The sequence below is a fragment of the Homo sapiens genome, chromosome X (assembly GCF_000001405.40).
Source record: "Homo sapiens chromosome X, GRCh38.p14 Primary Assembly".
In the NCBI taxonomy this organism is placed as follows: Eukaryota; Metazoa; Chordata; class Mammalia; order Primates; family Hominidae; genus Homo; species Homo sapiens.
The window spans coordinates 105,002,454-105,025,665 of NC_000023.11; the positions used below are offsets into that span (position 1 = coordinate 105,002,454).

The following is a 23,212-nucleotide window of genomic DNA, read 5'->3' on the forward strand; positions in this document are numbered from 1 at the left end:
GTGTCCTACATATTTTGAAATTTCTCCTTGATTTGGGGAATGAAGTCTTGGAATCCTTTTTGAAGTCACGAAAGAATTGAATGTTTTAAATCTTATAAACGATGGTCCATGAATTCTCTGGGAAAGAAAATCTTCAACTTTATTTTCATAATGGTGGCATTTATATTGTTTACATACAATACCTTCCTTCCTAGAATGAGGAATGTCAGTAGCCATTATCCCAACCCCCCTAATATACCCCCACATACCAAAGTCATTATGTGTTAATCCTATAGGAAATGGGCAATTTTTCTGAAGAGATTCTAAATTAAGGCCTTTTAAAATAGAGTATTCTTAAGGAGTAAAAATGGCTTAAAGAAAATTGATCTGTGACGCTGTAGAAGATTCACAGTTTCAGTGATCTAATTCTGTAAACACCATCATAATATTATGTCATGCATAATTTATTATTGAAATCCTGTGTGAGAATTCTAAGGTTTTTTCATGTACCAGAGAGTTGCTGAGATTGGTAAAGAAATGGGTTAACTGTTTAAGATAATGGTATTACTCTGGATGGGAGGATGCAATCAATGGGGTTTCTAAATATTCCTTTTTTTCACCATTGTGGAGGTATTTATATGTAATAGATTTGCTTTTACATCAGTGTTGAGGAGGGAAACCACCCAGGATATGCTTATATTATATTCCTTCCCCTTTAGTCTCTCCCAAATATGCAATGCACAGCTGTTTTTAAATCACCATTCAGCATGTCATTCAATTTTTATTACTCTACATTATTATAAGTATCCAGTAAAAATAAGAGTGAAATCTGATGTGGCTTCTAAAATCAATGAGCTATCATAGAATTGACAAAAATTTTGGTTGAAATTTAGAGTACTTAATTATCACCCAAAATACAGATGCTGAATTTCATCCTTGCTCCAGATGCTTCTTAAAATATCAAATGTTTGAGATCTTTCATTTATAGATTTGGTTTTACAGGTGAACACACCAAAGTTTAGCAATTTTTCACATCATATTTATGTTATATCCTCTCTCTCACGTGCATGTGCATGCCTCCCCCTCCCGAAACCGAGGGTTATAGAAAGATAATTACTTTTTTTATCCTCTGTGTATTTTTGCATAATTTTCTTCCCCATGTTTTGATTTCTCTGGAGCAAGTTTCTATTAGTGCTGTCAGTCTGTAACTGGGCCACTTAGTAAGAGTGGGAGAAGGAGACTTTTTTCTTCTGTATTACATCTTCCATGTGATTCTGCAACTCTGTTTTAGTCATCTGTCCATTCACGCTTGTTACTCATGTTATTTTTCTCTTCGTTTCTGTCTTCCCCATTCCCCACCTCCAGGCCCCACACACTCAGATCCATACTTGCAGAGGTCATTCCTCCTCTCTTCCATGAGAAATAATAATTGACATTAAAGTAGCTAATGTTTATTGCGTGCTTGCTATGTGCCAGACATCATTCTCAGAACTTTGCAAATATTATTTCATCTAATCTATGTAATTGGCTTTTCTCCAATTTTATTTCAAAATTTCAAGAAGGTTATAGAAATGTAAGGCAACAAAAAGGGAAAAATCAGACATGTCACTCCTGAGATTTCCTTTTCCAGGGCTTGAAGAATCCTTACACATAAAAGATGTTTATAGTTCCAGATCATCTATCCACCACCAGAAAGGGCAGCCCATTCACTATGGATGTCTCGATATCCTGTTTTCAATACACACATCTCTGCTTGTGAGGCAGTTTTAATGCTCCAAGTCATCAGAAAAGGAGAGTGACTTGGTTTCAAATGATGAGTGACCAAGATAAGCAGTCTGAAGAGTGGGTTAAAATAAAGTAAAATGCTTTGACAGGAAGAGGTCAAAGCTGGCAGTTGTGTTTTGAAATCTTATTAAAAGAGGCTGACATCACTAATATGAAAGAAACTTCTTTCTTGTTTTTTAAAACTTTTACGATGCATGAGGTAGACTTCTTTTTCAAAAAAAATTCCCATCTTGAGTCCTTGCAATATACAGGAAACATGCAGTTAATGAAATGAGAACAGGTTGAATTTGTGATAAAAATTGGTGTCTGGCTCTCTGAGTTCAGCAATATAATTTCATTTTTATTAGAGTCTTACCTATCTTTAACATTGAAAATTATGCTAAGAATGAAAATTTTGAGGAGTATGTACCTTACAAGGTTAAGAAATATAATTTTATTTTTATCAAATTATGCTCACATTTTGTGTTAAAAATTCACTGAACGATGAAAATGTTGAGAGACCCTGAATCCTATTTTCACCTATTTTTAATAAGGATCTTGTGGTACCTCGATACTGATGTATTACTACAATTTGCCTTAAAATGGTGTTCACCATACCCCTCTTTTACATGTTAAGAAGTTTCATCTGCACAATGTGAGATGATGTTATCTAAATTCAATTCACACATTTGGTTCAAGGTTAAAATATCCCCGTCCCTCAGTGAGGTGGGGGAGGAAAACTGCTTTGTTTAATGTTAATGGAAAAATTTCACCTGTGAAATAATCTTCAAACTGTGAAATTAAATCCCCCACGTATGTTCTATGCTCATGCCTTCAGCCTTCCTCCCTCTACACCGATCTACCCTGTCTCTGGATTCTTTTAAGAAAGTATTTGAATACCATGTTGCATAGAGGGCAAATCACAAAATCTGGGCAAGAAGGATTATTTATATGACTTTTGTGAAACCTATTCCCTCTAAATATTGACTCTCCAACTAGATTGTAAGTTTAATGAGGAGAAGAACAAAGATTTTACCTTCCTGTAGCCTCCTACAATGCTTCGTATAGGGTAGTGCTTAATAAATACTTAATGATATTGATCTGAAATAGCCAGTTTAGTTGGTCAGTAACAACCCAGACCACTTAATAACTTGATTGCCTATAAACATAGATATATCTATGCACCATGGACCAACAACGTGGGCATCACCTGGGAGCTCATAAATGCAGAATCTCAGGCCTCACGCCAGACTTACTTAACCACGATGTGCATTTGAATAAGTTCTCCCTGTGATTTGTATGCACATTAATGTCTGTGAAGCACTGCTCCATTGCATTAAGGATTAGGCACTTTACCACCATGAACATTTCTTTCTTTCTCTTATATTTCTTCTTGTATGTACCTCTTTCCCCCTCTTCTGCTTATATTATAGGCCTACTAGTTCCCTCTACCTTTTTAGTTCACCATGTATTTCCAAGTTTTGTGAAGACTAGTCCTCACAAAAATTCTCTGAACTCTTCATAAAGAATAGTCAATATCTAGTCATTTCTACTTCCTCAGCTAGTTTTGTTAAAATTATACAAACTTAAATAACAGGGGAGAATTTTTAGCCTTCTCAGCCTTATGTTCCCTAGAAAAATGTTACCTATAGTTTCGTTCAGAAATCATAGATTACAATATTATTCTTTTAAAGTAATGAGCAGAGTTTTGGTAGGGAAATAAACTCTCCAAAAGTAATAATTTCTGATTCTCATAGCTATGGAATCTTACGTTTTGTATAGATAAGGGGCAAAGCAAGTAAGGGAAATTCGTTCTGTGATTTCAGACACATGGGGGATTTTTATCTTTACCTAATGTAGGTTTTTGCTGTGTTTTTTCTCTGTAAAAGCCATGGTGCTTCAAAATTTAATGAGATTATATGATGTATTATCATCATTTGCAAATGCAATTATCAGCTGCGATTAATCCTGCTAATTCCGAGAAAGCCATATTGGGTGTTATTTTTCCCCTCCTCGTGGGTATTTGTGTTGCTCTTACTTTATGAACTTTGATCAGAACTACTGCAGAAAGGAGGGGGAAAGCAAATGGGATGTATGAAATAAGGCTTTTTATGACTGGTTTTATGTAGACATTTATGAGTGCCTAGGAGGAAACATCTCACAAAAATTCACTTCACCTGGAGAGAAAACAATGTAAATATTAGTATATAGATATAATATATATATTACTAACAACTTGTAGAAGAAAAAATAATACTGGATATTTCTTGTTGAATTCAAACATATGTTTTATTAATTTGAAGCAACATCAGCTCCTTGTATGTAACTTTCTCAGGATATTCATTTAGGCATTACATGTCAAGGAAGATGCGAATGACTAATCCTAGAGTTCTGAGCTCTACTGAAGAAATCAAATGGTAAGTCTCAGGCAATTACTGTATGCATTTGAGAGTAAATTTTTATCCCACCAGATTACAGATGAGTTCATCAATTATTGAGCACTTAAGCTCAGCTGGAATCCTATGAACTACTGTTTCCAAGAATTAAGCAAGAACACATTTTGAGATTGTGTCACTGTTGGGTTGCAGTTGAGACACCTTGCTATTACCATCATCTCTACCACCACATAGGTAGGATAACTGCACTCCTTGTTAGATCCTTTAAGGCTTGAGATGAGTGGGTTAGAATTAGGACCTACAATTATTAAATTTCAATCTACCAGTGGTTTTAACTCTTCCTTGGTCAATTGTGAGAACAATCATTGCAATTATAGTCCCCTCTCAAGGGGCTGGCAGCTGCCTTTCTTATTCCCCACTTGTGATTTACTTTTATAACTGTGTTTAATGCCTGCCAACAACTTATATCCCCAACTCTTCCATTAGTGAAAGTCTTGGTAAGGTGCTGAAGCAGATATAAAGATAAGTGAGGGGGATAATGAAACTGAAAGAAATGAAGTTACTTGTCTTTGATTGCAAAATATAATGGGAGAACTATGACTAATGAGAGGTGCTCAGTTATTTATTGAACAAACAGTTCTTCAGACTTGGGGGAAATTTAAAAGAATAATTCTTCATCAGAAACAGCTTTGGAATGCTCATATATATAGTCCTACATTCTTATTTTGTAGATGTGGAAACTATGTCCCAAACCATGTGATTTGTCCAGAACTAAACTAAACCTGGGTCATCTGATACAAGCCAGTGCTGTTTTTCCAGCATAATATCTCAATAAAATTCCATAGGCCAGCTGTATCTACAACTATTTGGCTCAATATCGAAGTATAACTTCTTTGGGCTGAAGAAGGAAACTCCATCCTAATTTAAATCCTAGTGATATAAATAGGATTTAGGATTTAAATTGGGTGGCAACAGAGCCTGACAATCCTTAAGGCTTCTTCCAATGCTAAGATTCTAGACATAAAATCCACCAGTGTCAAAGGTAAAAATGATTCATGCTAAGCACAGTGCCATACACACTAGAGCTCTGCGCCTACCTTTTAAGGAAGATGGAACATTCAATTACTACATAATCATGTTTTTCTTGAAATGTACTTTTTAATAAGGGCAATTCTGTAAGAGTCACTGTGGGAAAGTGAACTGATAATGTAGATATACTACAAAGATCTAGTGGTGAGATCAGAAATGATCCAGAAACCTGGAGCAAGTGAGAAGAGAAATGCCAAGAAGAGAAAAGTCTATAGTAAGAAACTACAAAGGCAAAGTAGAAAAATTCAGAATCGTTTTAGCACTATAAACACTATACATTGACGTGGAATTGGTTACTTACTATTGAGAAGAGAATTGCCAAGGGCAATACTATCTGTCTTAGTCTGTTTTCAGCTGCTACAACCGTATACTACAGATTGAGTAACTTATAAAGAAAACAAGTTTATTTTGGCTCACAGTTATGGAGGCTGGGAAATCCAAGAGCATAATGTTGGCATCTAGTGAGGATCATCCTATAGCAGAAGGTGGAAGGGTGAGAGGGTGAAAGAACATAATACAGAGGAAAAGGGAGCCAAACTTCTGTGCTAACTACACTCACTCCCACAATAATGGTATTAATTCATGCATGAGGATGATGAAGATGGAGCCTTCATGGCCCAGTCACCTCCCACATCTTAACATTGCCATGATGGCAACCCAGCTTTAACATGAGTTTTTAAGTGAACATTCAAACTATAACACAACTCTTTCAAAGTGACGAGTATACTTTCTAATCAAAAAGAGAATTTTTTTTTCAGTTTCATATACCATAGGCTATTTTTCAATGTATATGTCATTATACAAAAACAAGAAATGGGGAAAGGATTTCCTATTTAATAAATGGTGCTGGGAAAACTGGCTAGCCATATGTAGAAAGCTGAAACTGGATCCCTTCCTTACACCTTATACAAAAATTAATTCAAGATGGATTAAAGACTTACATGTTAGACCTAAAACCATAAAAACCCTAGAGGAAAACCTAGGCAATACCATTCAGGATATAGGCATGGGCAAGGACTTCATGTCTAAAACACCAAAAGTAATGGCAACAAAAGCCAAAATAGACAAATGGGATCTATTTAAACTAAAGAGCTTCTGCACAGCAAAGAAACTACCATCAGAGTGAACAGGCAGCCTACAGAATGGGAGAAAATGTTTGCAATCTACCCATCTGACAAAGGGCTAATATCCAGAATCTACAAAGAACTCAAACAAATTTACAAGAAAAAAACCAACCCCATCAAAAAGTGGGTGAAGGATATTAGCAGACACTTCTCAAAAGAAGACATTTATGCAGCCAACAAACACATGAAAAACTGCTCATCATCACTGGTCATCAGAGAAATGCAAATCAAAACCACAATGAGATACCATCTCACACCAGTTAGAATGGCGAGTATTAAAAAGTCAGGAAACAACAGGTGCTGGAGAGGATGTGGAGAAATAGGAATGCTTTTACACTGTTGGTGGGAGTGTAAATTAGTTCAACCATTGTGGAAGACAGTGTGACGATTCCTCAATGATCTAGAACTAGAAATACCATTTGACCCAGCAATCCCGTTACTGGGTATGTACCCAAAGGATTATAAATCATTCTGCTATAAAGACACATGCACACATATGTTTATTGCAGCACTATTCACAATAGCAAAGACTTGGAACCAACCCAAATGTCCAACAATGATAGACTGGATTAAGAAAATGTGGCACATATACACCATGGAATACTATGCAGCCATAAAAAAGGATGAGTTCATGTCCTTTGTAGGGACATGGATGAAGCTGGAAACCATCATTCTCAGCAAACTATCGCAAGGACAAAAAACCAAACACCACATGTTGTCACTCATAGGTGGGAATTGAACAATGAGAACACATGGACACAGGAAGGGGAACATCACACACCAGGGCCTGTTTTGGGGTGGGGGGAGGGGGGCGAGATAGCATTAGGAGATATACCTAATGCTAAATGACGAGTTAATGGGTGCAGCACACCAACATGGCACATGTATACATATGTAACTAACCTGCACATTGTGCACATGTACCCTAAAACTTAAAGTATAATAATAATAAAATTTAAAAAAAAGAAAATAGTGTTTTTATCTCTTTGTAATACTGTTTTGTTAGGTGTAACTTTCTAACACTGTGTGTTTAATGGAGTATTTTCCTCTCAGTATGTGTGACTTCTTATGATTCTTTGCAGAAATCTCTACCTACTACCTTAAAGAAGCTTAGCTTTGAGATCCACAAACTCTCTGGAAAATAATCTGTACATAACTTTTTAATTAATTTTTTTATTTTTAAAATTTACTGTATAATATTTAATCATTTATCTTGTGTCTGTAAGGGTTTTGTATTATCTTGTGAAATGATTTTTGTCATCTTTTATGTAGAGTTTTGTTTTTGTTTTTAGTCAAACCATTTTAAAAGCAGGTAGGGCTCAAGAGTAAATAAACAATTGCATATTTGAATTGCTCCCCTGAAAGTTAGGGTATATTCTATTAACCCAGAAATGCCAATCTGACATAGTGCAAATAGAAGTTTTTCCCAAAATAGTGCTTGGCACCTTGGTAATGTGCACATTTCCTCCTATTTTATTACCTACTGTGGTGCAAGGGTTTCACTCTCATTTTGGGATGGACTCTGAATGTTTCATTTGCATGCCTTTTATGGTGGTAACAGACGATAATTTTTTTACAGATACAGTTTTGCTTTTTATCATCATTTGTTTCTCTTCTACAAGACTTTTAAGTTGGCTAGTTACAGACTATCTGCTTCTTTTAATGTTTATATATTAGAAGGTTTAATAGAAGAAATAGAATGTCACTGTCGTAATTGGCCATTTCCCCCACCTTAATAGCATTCCAGAGCAAAGTTTCTTTAGATAGCAATGCTAAGCAAAATGCATTTGTGCAGCTTCATCTTTGATTCACCCATTCTTATACCATCATGAATGTTTTTGAAGGTCTTTGCCAAATAATCTTGCCAAAGGCTCTAGGCCTGCTGCTTGGTATTTGCTGCACGGACTGGGCCTGAGGAAAGGTGAGCTAAAAAGAAATTAGCTGAAATAATGAGATAATTCTAGAACACTAGAAAATTTAGAATTAACAAAGTTTTATGGTGTTGGATAAGTCCCAGCTTCAAAGCAATTTCTGACCATAGCATTTAAATTATTTCTTAAAAAAATCTCAATTTATTTACAGCTCCATAGTAGAGACTATAGGAAGTAGAGAGACTCTGAGGATAAGTTATTCTCCTGCTGATGTGGGCCATTGCCACAGGATGGGTGGAGAGGGGACAATATTGAAAACTTAAGAGTAAGCTCTTGAATGAAAGTTAGGGGTAAAATTTACTTGGAACTTATGGCCTTTGGTTAAGAGAGTGGACTTGACTCCAAATCCTGGCTCTGTCCTTTACTAGTTGTGTGACTTTGGGCAATTTACTTAACTTCTATAAGCCTGCTTCCTCATATGTAAAGGTGGTACCAACAATTCAATTATATAAATATATTATCAAACAGTGAAATACCTGCTATGTATTAAATGTTAATAAATGGAAAATGGCATTAATATTTAATTCTCAATATTTATTATGATTCCCCCAGGTTTCTCCTTTCATTAAAATATCTCTGAAAAATGTTTCAGCTTTTCTTCTTGCTTTTTAGTTGCTTCTTTAAAAACAAAATTTATTGAGGCATAACTTATATACCATAAAAACCACCCATTTTATTGTATAGTTAAATGATTTTTAGTAAATTTGCCAAGTTTTTCAACCATAACCATAAACCAGTTAGAGCATTTTAATCACAGCTAGTCCTTGGCATCCACTGTCCACTTTCTGGCCCTATGGATTTGCATATTCTGGTCAATTCATGTAAGTTGAATCAAATAATATTTGGCTTATTTCACTTATCAAGATGTTAGAAAGGTTCATCAATGTGTAGCATGAATCAGTACTTCGTTCCTTTTTATAGTTGAATAATATTCCATTTTGTGGATATACCATATTTTGTTTATCCATTTATTAGTTGATGGGCATGTGGGTTTGTTTCCATTTTTTGGCTAATGATGCTGCTATGAACATTTGTGTGCTAGTCCTTGTGTGGATATACATGTTCTTATCTCTTGGGTATATATCTAGGAGTGGAATTGTGATGGTATTAATATTAATAGTAGTATTTACTACTATTTCATAATTCACCTGACAATTAGACAGTTACATAGATTCCTATGGCAAAACAAAGTAAGTAACTTCAGATGCCCCTTAAAGGAGCATTCCTCAAAACAACATAAATCAGTTAGCTCTTAAAAAAATTAAAAGATTCCTATGGGAACCATCTTTAATCACAGGATAGATCATTTAAAGACTTTTTGCACATCACTTTTGGGAGAATTCAAAAGATAATGTTTTGGTTTTCAAACACCTCAAGTTTTGTCTTGTCTACACTTTTGTAAGATACCCATCTGAATGTCAATAGGACATATGATGCCTCAGAAAGGCAAAGATTTACCAGTGATTAATACAGGGTATAAATAATGGTGTCTGAATCTGTGCATCAAAGCAAGGAAGATAGATCTTGTGACATCCCTACCTTTTTTCCCTGGGATGCACAAATCAGTCCTTAATAGAAGGGGGAGAGAGGATGAATGCTTTCATGCCTGTCAATGGAATGAAATACAATTCTATGGCAAGGAAGGATACACAGTGGTTCATGCACAGCAAAGACATCAGGGCTTTCTAGGTTTTCAGATAAGGGACCATATTCAGATGGCCCTCACTTTAAGCAATAATTGAGTTCTTGAAAATAAATCAATGCAGATATTGCGGGCCTATTATTAATGTGTATTTTAGTAGCAACTGGGTGCTAGTTTGTAGAACTAGTCCTCAAAGCACAGGCAAGGCTAACTTTCTCTTTCTCTCTCTCTCTCTCTCTCTCTCTCTCTCTCTCTCTCTCTCTCTCTCACACACACACACACACACACACACACACAGAGAGAGAGAGAGAGAATAATAAAATGCAAAATTATCAAGTTCTAATTTATGTTACAATAAAATTTCAACAAAGGGTAAGTTAGGTTGCAGCACTCAGGTTAATTGGTCAATGAAGTCAGATTTTTTCCATTTTCTTTTATTGTAGTTTCTCTGCTTTATAATCATTTCCCTACCCACATCTTTTATAAAAAGGAAATGAGGTATTCTGATTTGATCTCTGGTGGTAAAACTCATTTATCAGTGTGCCAAGTGAAAAGGATTTAGTAAGGTTAGATGGCCGTTGAGCAGGGTTTCTCAAAGTGTGGCCAGGTAACTTTCTTCATCCAAATATCCATTTTTATCAGGCTCTCTAGGTAACTGTGATGCACACTGGTTTGGGAACACTGTAGTGGAGTCTTGATATTCTTATATTTGCTTTACTTCCAACTGTTTATTAAATGTAACAGGTGGGAAGTAAACCAATGGGATATTGTAAGCTATAATTAAAGAAAAGAGAAGAGAGTATATGTGTGAGAGGTCCTATGGCTTCCATCAGAGTCTTGGACAACTCTGTTACCCCAGAAAAGATTAAGAACTGTTATTGGAAACCTTGAGTGAGATCTCTGGCTTGAGTTCCATTCCTTTTGTGCTTCTAGCTATGCCAACAGAACCGCAGCATCAAAGAGTTGCATCCTCAGGGTTTATTATCATGATGGAAGGGAGCAGATATCCTGATACTGTTCCACAAGTACTAGAGAGGGATGTAGAGGAACTGCATTGAAAGAGGTAGCGATACTCTGGTAGGCAGGAAGTATAAGGTCTTCATACTTTCTGCCTACCAGAGACAGAGGTATAATGTCACCAGGATCCTAGAGTAGAAACATCCTAGATTGTAGAGGGCAAGAGAGTTTTAGTCCTTGCTTGCTGGTATGGGTGAGGAAACTAAAGAGGCTTCTGGAGAGCAGTGCTCCAGCCCTTTGTCCTGACGATTCTCCTTCTCTATGAAGAAATCATCTAATTTTTAAATTTCCTTCCCTTGAAATACCTAATTTCTTGCCCTTCTGCCTACTGAAAATCCTCCTTATTATCCAAAGCCTAGGTCTAGCCTTATCTCCTCCACAAACTTTTTCACGATGACTCTTTTTCCACATTGATCTCTTTCTTCTATTGTGTTTTATAGCATATAATCAGTGGCTCAGTACATATTGCCTTACATAAAAAGTGTTACATGTATTTGTTTTATCTCCACAATTGGCTCATAAGCTACTGGTAAACAGGGCATAACTGCCCTGACTCCTTTGATATGAATCAACAAATCTAGCATTATAAGCACCAGGCACATAGTGCGTATTCAGTGACTTGAACTGAAGTACCTGGAATGTGGATGGCTTATGATTCTTTTTTATATCATGAGTATAAGTGGAGAGACAAGTAGAATAAATGAGAAAGGATGATTTCTTAAGGTTTTTTTTAGCCCTTGATGTTATAAAAATATTTTTCCCCAGGGAACATAGCTTCACTTTAATTTATTTTTTATTGTTACATAATATTTGCACATATTTATGGAGTACATGTGATGTTTTGTGGCATGCATAGAATGTGTAATGATTATAATTCTCTTCTTAAAACTGTATATGTTCCAAGCTAAGGTTCTCTTTCTTTCTTTTCCTTTTCTATATTTAAGTTCTGAGATACATGTGCAGAACGTTGAGGTTTGTTACATAGGTATACATGTGCCATGGTGGTATGCTGCACCCATCGACCCGTCATCTACAGTAGGTATTTCTCCTAATGCTATCCCTCCCCTAGCCCCACAACCCCCCGACAGGCCCTGGTGTATGATGTTCCCCTCTCTGTGTCCATGTGTTCTCATTGTTCAACTCCCACTTATGAGTGAGAACATGCAGTGTTTGGTTTTCTGTTCTTGTGTTAGTTTGCTGAGAATGATGTTTTCCAGCTTCATCCATATGCCTGCAAAGGGCATGAACTAATCCTTTTTTATGGCTGCATAGTATTCCATGGTGTATATGTGCCACATTTTCTTTATCCAGTCTATCATTGATGGGCATTTGGGTTGGTTCCAAGTCTTTGCTACTGTGAACAGTGCCACAATAAACATATGGGTGCGTGTGTCTTTATAGTAGAATGATTTATAATACCTTGGGCACATGCCCAGTACTGCGATTGCTGGGTCAAATGGTATTTCTGGTTCTAGATCCTTGAGGAATTGCCACACTCTCTTCCACAATGGTTGAACTAATTTACACTCCCACCAGTAGTGTAAAAGCCTTCCTATTTCTCCACATCCTCTCTAGCATCTGTTGTTTCCTGACTTTTTAATGATTGCCATTCTAATTGGCATGAGATAGTATCTCATTGTGGTTTTGATTTGCATTTCCCTAATGACCAGTGATAATGAGCTTTTTTTAATATGTTTCTTGGTTACATAAATGTCATCTTTTGAGAAGTGTCTGTTCATATCTTTTGCCTACTTTTTGATGGGGTTTTTTTTTTCTTGTAAATTTGTTTAAGTTATTTGTGGGTTCTAGATATTAGCCCTTTGTCAGATGGATAGATTGCAAAAATTTTCTCCCATTCTGTAGGTTGCCTGTTCAATCTGATGATAGTATCTTTTGCTGTGCAGGAGCTCTTTAGTTTAATTAGATCCCGTTTGTGAATTTTGGCTTTTGTTGCCATACTGCTTTCGGTGTTTTAGTCATGAAGTCTTTGCCTATGCCTGTGTCCTGAATGGTATTGCCTAGGTTTTCTTCTAGGGTTTTTATGGTTTTAGGTCTTACATTTAAGTCTTCAATCCATCTTGAGTTAATTTTTGTATAAGGCGTAAAGAAGAGAACTAGTTTCAGCTTTGTGCCTATGGCTAGCCAGTTTTCCCAACACCATTTATTAAATAAGGAATCCTTTCCCCATTGCTTATTTTTGTCAGGTTTGTCAAAGATCAGATGGTTGTAGATGTGTGGTATTATTTCTGAGGGCTCTGTTCTGTTCCATTTGTCTGTATATCTGTTTTGGTACCAGTACTATGCTATTTTGGTTACTATAGCCTTGTAGTATTGTTTGAAGTCAGGTAGCATGATACCTCCAGCTTTGTTCTTTTTGCTTAGGATTGTCTTGGCTATGCGGGCTCTTTTTGATTCCATATGAAATTTAAAGCAGTTTTTTCCAATTCTGTGAAGAAAGTCAGTGTTAGCTTGATGGGGATAGCATTGAATCTATAAATTACTTTGATCAGTATGGCCATTTTCATGATATTGATTCTTCCTATCCATGAGCATGGAATGTTTTTCCATTTGTTTGTGTCCTCTCTTATGTCCTTGAGCAGTGGTTTGTAATTCTCCTTGAAGAGGTCCTTCACATCCCTTGTAAGTTGGATTCCTAGGTATTTTATTCTCTTTGTAGCAATTGTGAATGGGAGTTCACTCATGATCTGGCTCTCTGTTTGTCTGTTATTGGTGTATAGGAATGCTTGTGATTTTTGCACATTGATTTATTATCCTGAGAGTTTGCTGAAGTTGCTCATCAGGTTAAGGAGATTTTGGGCTGAGACAATGGGGTTTTCTAAATATGCAATCATGTTATCTGGAAACAGAGACAATTTGACTTCCTCTTTTCCTGATTGAATACCCTTTATTTCTTTCTCTTGCCTGATTGCCCTAGCCAGAACATCCAATATTATGTTGAATAGGAGTGGTAAGAGAGGGCATCCTTGCCTTCTGCCAGTTTTCAAAGGGAATGCTTCCAGTTTTTGCCCATTCAGTATGACATTGCCTGTGGGTTTGTCATAGATAGCTCTTATTATTTTGAGATACATTCCATGAATACCTAGTATATTGAGAATTTTTAGCATGAAGGGCTGTTGAATTTTGTCAAATGCCTTTTCTGCATCTATCGAGATAATCATATATTTTTTGTCTTTGGTTCTGTTTATGTGATGGATTATATTTATTGATTTGTGTATGTTGAACTAGCCTTACATCCCAGGGATGAAGCCAACTTGATCGTGGTGGATAAGCTTTTCGATGTGCTGCTGGATTTAGTTTGCCAGTATTTTATTGAGGATTTTTGCATCAATGTTCATCATGGATATTGACCTGAAATTTTCTTCTTTTGTTGTCTCTCTGCCAGGTTTTGGTATCAGGATGATGCTGGCCTCATAAAATGAGTTAGGGAGGATTCTCTCTCTTTCTGTTGTTTGGAATAGTTTCAGAAGGAATGGTACCAGCTCCTATTTGTACCTCAGATAGAATTTGGCTGTGAATCTGTCCGGTCCTGGACATTTTTTGGTTGGTAGGCTATTAGTTACTGCCTCAGTTTCAGAAATTGTTATTCATCTATTCAGGGATTTGACTTCTTCCTTGGGAGAGTGTATGTGTCCAGGAATTTTTTCATTTCTTCTAGATTTTCCAGTTTATTTGCGTAGAGGTGTTTATAGTATTCTCTGATGGTAGTTTGTATCTCTCTGGGATCAGTGGTGATATCCCCTTTATCATTTGTATTGTGTCTATTTGATTCTTCTTTCTTTTCTTCTTTATTAGTCTGTCTAGTGGTCTATCTATTTGTTGATCTTTAAAAAAAACCAGCTGCTGGATCCATTGATTTTTGGAAAGATTTTTGTGTCTATCTCCTTCAGTTCTGCTCTGATCTTAGTTATTTAAGGATTGTAGGACAAATGCTTGTCTATCACAAGAAAACATTTTTATTAACTGAAAATTAACTGTAGCTTTAATAAATTTGAACTCGGAGATTTTAAAAAAATACTTATGCAAGTGAGTCAGATTTTGTTTTTAAGGGGAAGGAGTGATTGTCCCTCAAAGGAAAATTATTGACCACTTCTATCACACTTTTATGTTTCTGAATTGTTCTTTGAGAGAGAATAGCTTTTAAAAACATCAAAAACTCTAGATCTTAACAATCTAAGGACCCAAAACCTTTCAGTGTACAATTATAGTATTATTGAAAAATAGAGAAGAATGCAAAGAGGTTGCATAATTGAGTATAATAAAGAGTAACATAATAGAGAGTGGAGAGGGAGTAAGAGCTGAGTATGAGCAAAATAGAACTAGTAGGTGAGAGGCCATGGGCAAGTAGAAACATGTCTAGCAATAAAAGTAAAAAGAAGAAAAAACCATAAAATAGAAAACAAAGGTAAGAGGAAGACTGTTTACGGTAGGAAGTTTGGAAAAAAGTGACTAAGAGCAAAAACATTGCTGACACCAGTGCATTGCACATGTTCCAGCAAATAGTGGACTGCAATTAACAAAGCTGATTCTCACCTGTTCTTAGGTAAGCTACTGAATGCAACACAAAGGGTTACTAAGAGAGGCCTCTTGACCAAAAGTGGTTCCCCCCACTACGTGTGCCTGGAATTCCCACAATTAGACTCTTTCTTTGAGTTAAGGCTTGGCATTTTCAGAAGTCATCTCTTAAAGGGCAATTTAAATAGACTGGAAGGGTTAAAATACATAGAGCTTTAATATCTGCTATGAACTCTTCATAGATTGGTCTTTCAGAATACTTTTAAATGTGCCAGCTACCCAAGAGGAGCAAAGCACTGCATGATCTGAACTGTCTAGCCTCATCTCTTCCTAATCCCTACCTTCTTATTACACTCTAGCCATGAATGAACACATCATGGTTATTTGTTATCCTGTGACTTTTTATGTGCATTCCTTCGCTCAGTATGCCTTCCTCCTACCTTTCTATCAACTGCAGCTCAAAAAGCATCTCCTCTGTGAAGCCTCACTTCAGTTGCCTTCTCTTGTACTTCCATAGCAATTTACATATGCCTTACTTTGAGCAGTATTGTTGATGTATTATAAATAGTGGTTTCAGTATTTGTGTTCCTCTCTAGACCACAGTTTCATATCCATAAACCAAACTATGCTTATTCCATAATCACACGAATCACCTAGTAAGGCAGTACTGTGTTTAACATAGTTTAACCTCTCTGCACCTCAGTTTTGTCATTTAAAAACCAGGGATAACAACAACGATAACAAATAGTATTATTGAGAGATTTAAATAAAATAATGCATGCAAGTGATATTACCTTAGTCCATTAGATATTTCAAGCCTAAATATATGGAAAAATACGAAAGAAAGGAGTTAGGAAATTTGAATACTATTTGGGGTTCCTGCACTAACTCACTTTTCATTCCCAGCAAATTACCAAGGCCCTTGTTTTTTTCTATTTCCAACACGCACTGCCAAGATATTGATCTCTTACATTCCCTATGTAACTATTGAGTTTAAATAGAAAGAGTAACCTAAAAGGAGATTGGAGCCTCTCAGAGTGAGATAGCTAAGAAATACCAGGTGTTGCTATGGCTGAGAAATTGCCAGTCATCTTTATCACAGTTGTTGCCAATTCTTGAGGGCTTACTTATAATGTGTCCATGCACTAGGCCAAGTATTTTGTTTATGGTTCTCTATTTTTAGTCAATTATAAACCAAGGTTGGTTTGTCACTGGGCAGGCATGCAATGGGAGTATTTAAGTACAGAATTGAGTAGCCTGGGAGAATATGGCTGTATTCTTTAGTAGCATGTTTTGCTTTCTTGCAGAATATATTTTTTCTTTTCTTCCTTTGTTTACAGAAATCTGAAGAAAACCATACCTTCAACTATTGTGTGAAGTTTATGTCATATCTAGAAGCTAGTTCATGGAAAAAGCTACAAAAATTGAAACACTAGCTCTATAAAAATCAGCCATAAGTGCCTTCTTACTGGAATGAGATTACTAAGGTATAATTAGTAGTAACACATATATTAGCAATTAGAAAGTCAGTAGAATTGAGGCATGAACAAAAGACCATCTGTTATGAGAGAAATATCCAACCCTCATAATCAGTAGGTAATAGATACTCTGTTCTTGAAACATAACAGTTAAAGGATAACAAAGGAATGTCTTATTGCTTGCTAAAAAATACTCTTGGGAATTCCCCAAAAAGAGCTACACTGTAATAGTAGAAGTTCTGATTTTTAAAAATTGAGCTAGAAATAAATCTGGCAACAATTTTTCTCTAACCTTATCCTGATGTTCAGGGACTCCCTCAAAAGTAATTATAGAACTCAACTGTTCATTTTTAACTAAAGTGATTTCTGGTTATGATTAAAATAAACTTTGAATTTAAAATCTCTCTAACTCATATATAAAATTCATATAAAGGATATTTGGTTTGCCTCCTGAATATAGGAATCATAAGAGACCCTGGAGATCAGGGGAAAGGTCCCAGATTTTGGAGCCAAAGAAACCTGAAACCTGAGTATTAAAGTTCTGCCTTACCCATCTCATGTGCAATGTGTGGCCCTAGGAACTGATTGTGTTTTTGTTGTTGTTGTTTTTAGATGGGGTTTCCCTGTTACTCAGGCTGGAGTGCAGTGGCTCAAACTATTGTGCTCAGGTGATTCTTCTGCCTCAGCCTCCTGAGCAGCTAGAACTGCAGGTGTGTGCCACTACAGCCAGCTATTTTTAAAATTTTTTGTAGAGATTGGTGGGGGGGAGGGTCTCACCATGTTTCCTAGGCTAGTCTTGAACTCCTGGCCTCAAAAGATTCTTTCATCTCTGCCTCCAAAAGAGCTAGGATTATAGGCGTGTATCACTGGGCCCGACCTAGGCAGTGTCTTAACCTCGTTAAAACTTAATTTCCTTCTCTGTAAAATGGAAGTAATAATAGTTCCTAGCTCAGAGTGTTATTGTAAGTTTTAAAGGAAATAGTGCAGTCAAGCATTTAGCAGCTTCTGCTGCTGTTGTTGTGACAGACAGAATTCTGGACAGGGTGGACCAGGGATTTACATTGAATGACAGTCTGATGTCTTTATTTCATGGAGACAGATTGGTCTAGCATCTGTAAAGTGAGGATTCATAACATTAGTACTTACTACATAAGGCTATGAAAATGCAAATTGATTATATATGTAAAACCTGCATAGTGCCTGGCATGTATGTAGTAAGGGCTCAATGAATGTTAGAAACTATTGTTATGTTTTGGCACAGTGTCTGGCACCTAGGCTCTCAATATGTGTTAGCTCTTATTGCTATCTCTGGGAATCTAGTAATTATCAGGTGACAGAGATGCCCCAGCATTGTCTAGTGTTTTGGGAAACCCCACACTTCTCATGGACTTGAACAGTAACTCAGCAAGGTGGACAGAGGACTGAAAAAATAAATGACACCTCTTATATAATGTATATTAGATAAGGGAGAATGAAGACTTTATGCTAAATTAGGTGACTAGGCATACGTTTAAAGATATTCCATCCCTGCTTTAGCATATCCATTTATTTTCACATAATTTATCATGGTTATTTGAACAGTGTCAGCAGGTTTCTAAGACAAAGCCACACTGCAAAATCAGTTGGCATCTGGTTTCTCTTCAGTTCTAATCTGATTACCAGATCTAACTTAAGGAGATAGACTTGAATTATTTCCAGAGAATCCATGTAAACATTCCAGAAATCCCTTGAGATGTACTTAAGTGAAAGTTCTGGTTTGCATCCAATTGTAATGCAAGGTCAGGGTCTCCAACACAAATGTCATTTCAATCTTTTAGTGATTATTCTTTCAGTAGGAGCATGGATATTAGTTCTAGGGTGCTGTGGCTCTAGGGCCATCTGAAGGGCTGTGTGGGTCAGGGAAAATTACACTGAGGAATTGTCCTACATATTTTTATCTCCATGAAATCAGGTTAAAAGAAGAACGAAAAGAGATCAGTGAGATGGAGGGAAAGCCCATTCTTAGGTATGCTGCTCGGAGTTTATGGGTGGCCGTGGGGCTTATATACATATAAGCTCAAGAATTATAGACCGCTCTGCTGTTTGCCTCACTGGGTCACTTCTCAGTCCATCAGCAGTGCAATTCTTCCCAAAACACCAGCCAGCACTGACAACATCTCTGCCCTGAGTAATTATTTAGTGTACAGGGGAATTCTCAGGATATCGATTGTTTCAGGAGACTCAGATATCTATGATGTTAACCCATTTTCATTTGCCATAACTATGCCTACTCTATTAAGTTTACTTGTTCTTTAGGTGTTTTTGATTATGACTAGGATTGGACTGCCCAAAACAATACGTGGGTATTTGCCTATGATAAGCTAACTTGAACCTTCTTATTTCTTCCCTTTCTTTCTGCCTTCCTTTTTACCCCATTTATTCAAATAGTAAATAATATTTGAGCATATGCTTACCATATGACAGAAAGGCAGAATATAGAGCTGGAGATACATAATGGCAATCAATGCATGCATAGCCCTTGCCCTTAGACAATACATTTAGGGTGTGAGCATTCACATCAACCATATAAATTGTAGGAATTGGTAAGTGTATGGAGGTAATGCTTAATGTATACTTCTGAACCCTCTGTATATTGTTCTTATCCTTCATAAGATTTATGTCAGTTCTCATTTCCCATGAGAAAAATTTTAAAAATATAAAGAAAATATAGAATTAGATGCAGCATCCCATACATTATGTATATACATATATACACACATTATATATATCTATAGATAAATTTATTTTTTAACATACAGATTTGAAATATTTATAGACTAAGTTTACTGAAACTCTTGTAAAGCTAGGCAGCCTAGCACTTAGAAGGATGAGGGGATGTAAGAAATGTGACTGTTTCCAAACAATTCTCTTATTCTCATTTTGCTCTCAGAGAAAATAAAGAAGAATCAGATTGTATAATTTCTGAAGATTCTGCTATTTTATTTTTAAGTGCCTCTTTTCTAAAGGATTCACAGTCACACGTATTAAATGACTTAAAGACACATCCTTCTCTCCTCTGTCTCAATGAATAGTTTGGTCAAGAACCAGAAGAAGTTTAAAACTTAACACTCTAGGTTACTGAGGAAGTTTGAAGAGTCTTTTCTTGGATATCCCAGGCTCCTTGACTTTCAGCTCTGTGATTTTTCATGGGTGCTAACCACACAGATAGTTGGCATGAGACTGTCTTGTTAAATAGGATGTGAGAGACATTGAAAGCTTCCCCCACCAGCCTCCTCAGAGGTAGAGATGCCCTCCCCTATTACAGTGGCTCCTTTGGGGCCTCTGGAAGACTGTATTTAAATTTCAAATATCTGCTCTTAGAGGGCTGCGTTACACTGTTCTGTCTCATGGAGGAAATGGTTAGTGGGCAAGCAGATTTTCTCTTGTGGAGAATGGCTCAGAAAGGGTCCAAAACCTGTGAAATGCCTTCAGGTGGATTTCTACAGTTTAAGATCGGAAGATTCTAAGGCTGCTGAATCTTGGTACTTCTTGATAGCAGCTGTGAAGCAGAGATGTATATACATGAAAATGAAAAACATAAGGCACTAGATGAAAGAGAAATTGGTGTAGAAAGGAGATAGAATGTTAGTGACCTAATATAACCCTTCCCTATTTTATAATTTTGTCGGTCTGACACTGCCTTCCTGTAAAGAGCTAATCACAATATAAGGATTAGCATTCTCAAGTTATCTGCTCCACTTGACTGTGAGTCCTTTGAAAGTAGGAACCCCAATTTTAGTTGCTTTGTATCACTTGCTCCTAGGTCTTGCCTGATATATAATAAATGTTCAGCAAATGCTGGGTTAAAAAAAAAAGGAATGTCATTTCAGGGGTCTGAAACTTTCGAATCTTCTCTCACATTCTTTATTTTGGCCAAAGGTCTTATCAGATGTCTTCCCTGATCACCCTATCTAAAATTACACCATCGTGCTCCAGCCTCTTGTTTTATTTTGCTATCTAGCAGTTATAACTATCTGAAGTTATACTATATGATTAATTCTTATTCTGTTTATTATCTGTCTTCTCTGATATAATCTAATACTCTTAATGGCAGAAACCTTGTGTACGTGTGTACTGCTGCATCTCCAGTACCTAGAACAGTGTCCAACACAAAATAGCATCTCAAAAAATATTTTTGAAGAGTGTGCCAAGAGCTTGAGGATGTTCTTCCAAGTGGTTTTGCTGCATTAATTTTTGTTATATTTGGATTCCAAATAATATCAGATATGTTTGGAAGATAATATTAAACATAGATGCTTAGGGAAAGAAAAATCTCTTTTAATTCTAGGTTTAATTGCTCCAAATAGTCAATAAAGTGGTAAGAAGAATAAAAAAGTAGAATAGACATTTAATAAGAAAGCCTTTTGGCAACATAAGTATATTATATTTTACTCTTATCGGGGCAGGTGGTTTTTGTAAGTACTTGTTTATTTCAAAAGGGTGGTATTATTTGAATTAATTCACTAGTTAAAATTCTCAGAGCCTAAAAGTGATTTTTTCCATTTCAATTATCTTTATTTTCTAAAATATTTTCAAAGACAGTGGCTTCATGCTGAGGATAGAGGATGTAGTTGAAGAACTGTATGTAGCTCATGATTAACTGAAACTCTGTGAAATGAGCCTCTTCATGTATTTGGCAATTATTATACTTCTTTAAAATATGATTCAAAAGATAGAAATAATATTTTACAACATAAAGATCATTTGTCTTGTTTTATTGTATGTTCTGCATCTAACAGTTCACTTAACGAGAATAGTCCCTTGTGTCAAATTCAAATTCTCATTTGGCACTTTTCCTATACAAATTGCTTTCTGCCCATCATACAATTTTGCTTTGAAGCATTCTGGCAATGGGTGATATAGGGAGACTTAGAACCAAATTCTGCTTTTAATATGGAACTGGAAACAGTCCTTTCATCTTCCAGGTGATCTTTATATCATATGTATACAACACTTTCTTTTTCAAAAGTCTACCCTCTGGATTCAGCTATGATAACTATCGAGCACAGATAATTAAGAACTTAGGCTCTTACAATGTTTAAAGTAGCCCAAGAGAGCATAGAAGTTCTGTTCTTAGAGGTTCAGAAACAGGTGAGGACTGATGGTAACAAAGGTTGTGAAAATTCGACATTGCTGGTTTTGTTGTTTAGGGCAAGTGGCAGTCTCTGAAATATTTACTGGTTGAGCAGAGAATATTTGTTATACTTCTCCAATCAAAAGAGAAAAGAGGAATTGTTACCAATAACTGAAAGCTTTTACAACTCTCTAACTTCCTTATAAGGTATAGCTTCTGGGAGATGTGTTGGGCAGACTTCAGTAAAAGAAGATAGCATGTTTATGTTGACAGAGATGGGTCAGTTACAGATTTGTCCAGGGATTCTCATTAGTTGTTATCTTTCTGTTAACTTCTTTCCAACTTCTGATGTATGAGTACAGTTGTTACAGTGTTTTTCACAATTTTCTTTTGTTTTCTTGATTAATTTTTTTTTTTTGGATAGAAATACATTTTCTATGCCTACTTATAGCAAGTCAGGCTTTGTCTTTCTGAACCATTTTCTCTGTGGTGACATTTGGAAATGAACTTACAACGTTTTCCACTGTGTATTGTAGGGGGATTATTATAGACAAAAACTCTTTTAAGATACCTTTTTTTGTTCCTGCTTAGAACTATTATCAGTTTCACAAACTCTTTAGTCTTCTTGTCTTAGGTAGGATCAAGGAAGAAAAGAGGGAAGTTTCAAAATACTTTTTCTAGTTCTCCCTGCTTATTATCACAGGAGAAAGCTAAAACTTTGTTACAAGTAAATCCTTTAATATAATTTTATTTGAACACTTATAGCACTACTTATTGGGCAACCATGTGGTTAGAACCAGCTTTTTTGTTTTTTGTAAAACAGAATTGAAGTTGAAACAATTACTTCTGCCCTCTAAATAATTAGACTGCTATACTCTCCTCAAAGTATAAGCTGATTAGACTTTATCTTTGACTTCAGTGTGTTTCTGGCCTGCCGCTAAATGTCAAATTAATCTTAAACGCCCATAGGATTAATGTTGAAAATTGTTACACATTTTTTATTCATTCATCAATATTGCAATATACTCCCTTTTTCCTCTTTTTGGGTATGGGGCTGTAAAGTTTATTTGATTTCTTAAAGCACAAAGAACCTCATTGATCTCAACATAAAACTTATTATGTTACTGCAAAATAAACATGAAAATA

The 23,212-nt window shown here is 36.0% G+C and overlaps 1 protein-coding gene across 1 annotated transcript in view; it reads left to right on the forward strand.

Moving 5' to 3' along the window:
- The window catches only part of IL1RAPL2 (interleukin 1 receptor accessory protein like 2), a 1,201,631-nt gene that overhangs the window by 436,255 nt on the left and 742,164 nt on the right, over window positions 1–23,212 (forward strand). The window lies entirely within an intron of this gene.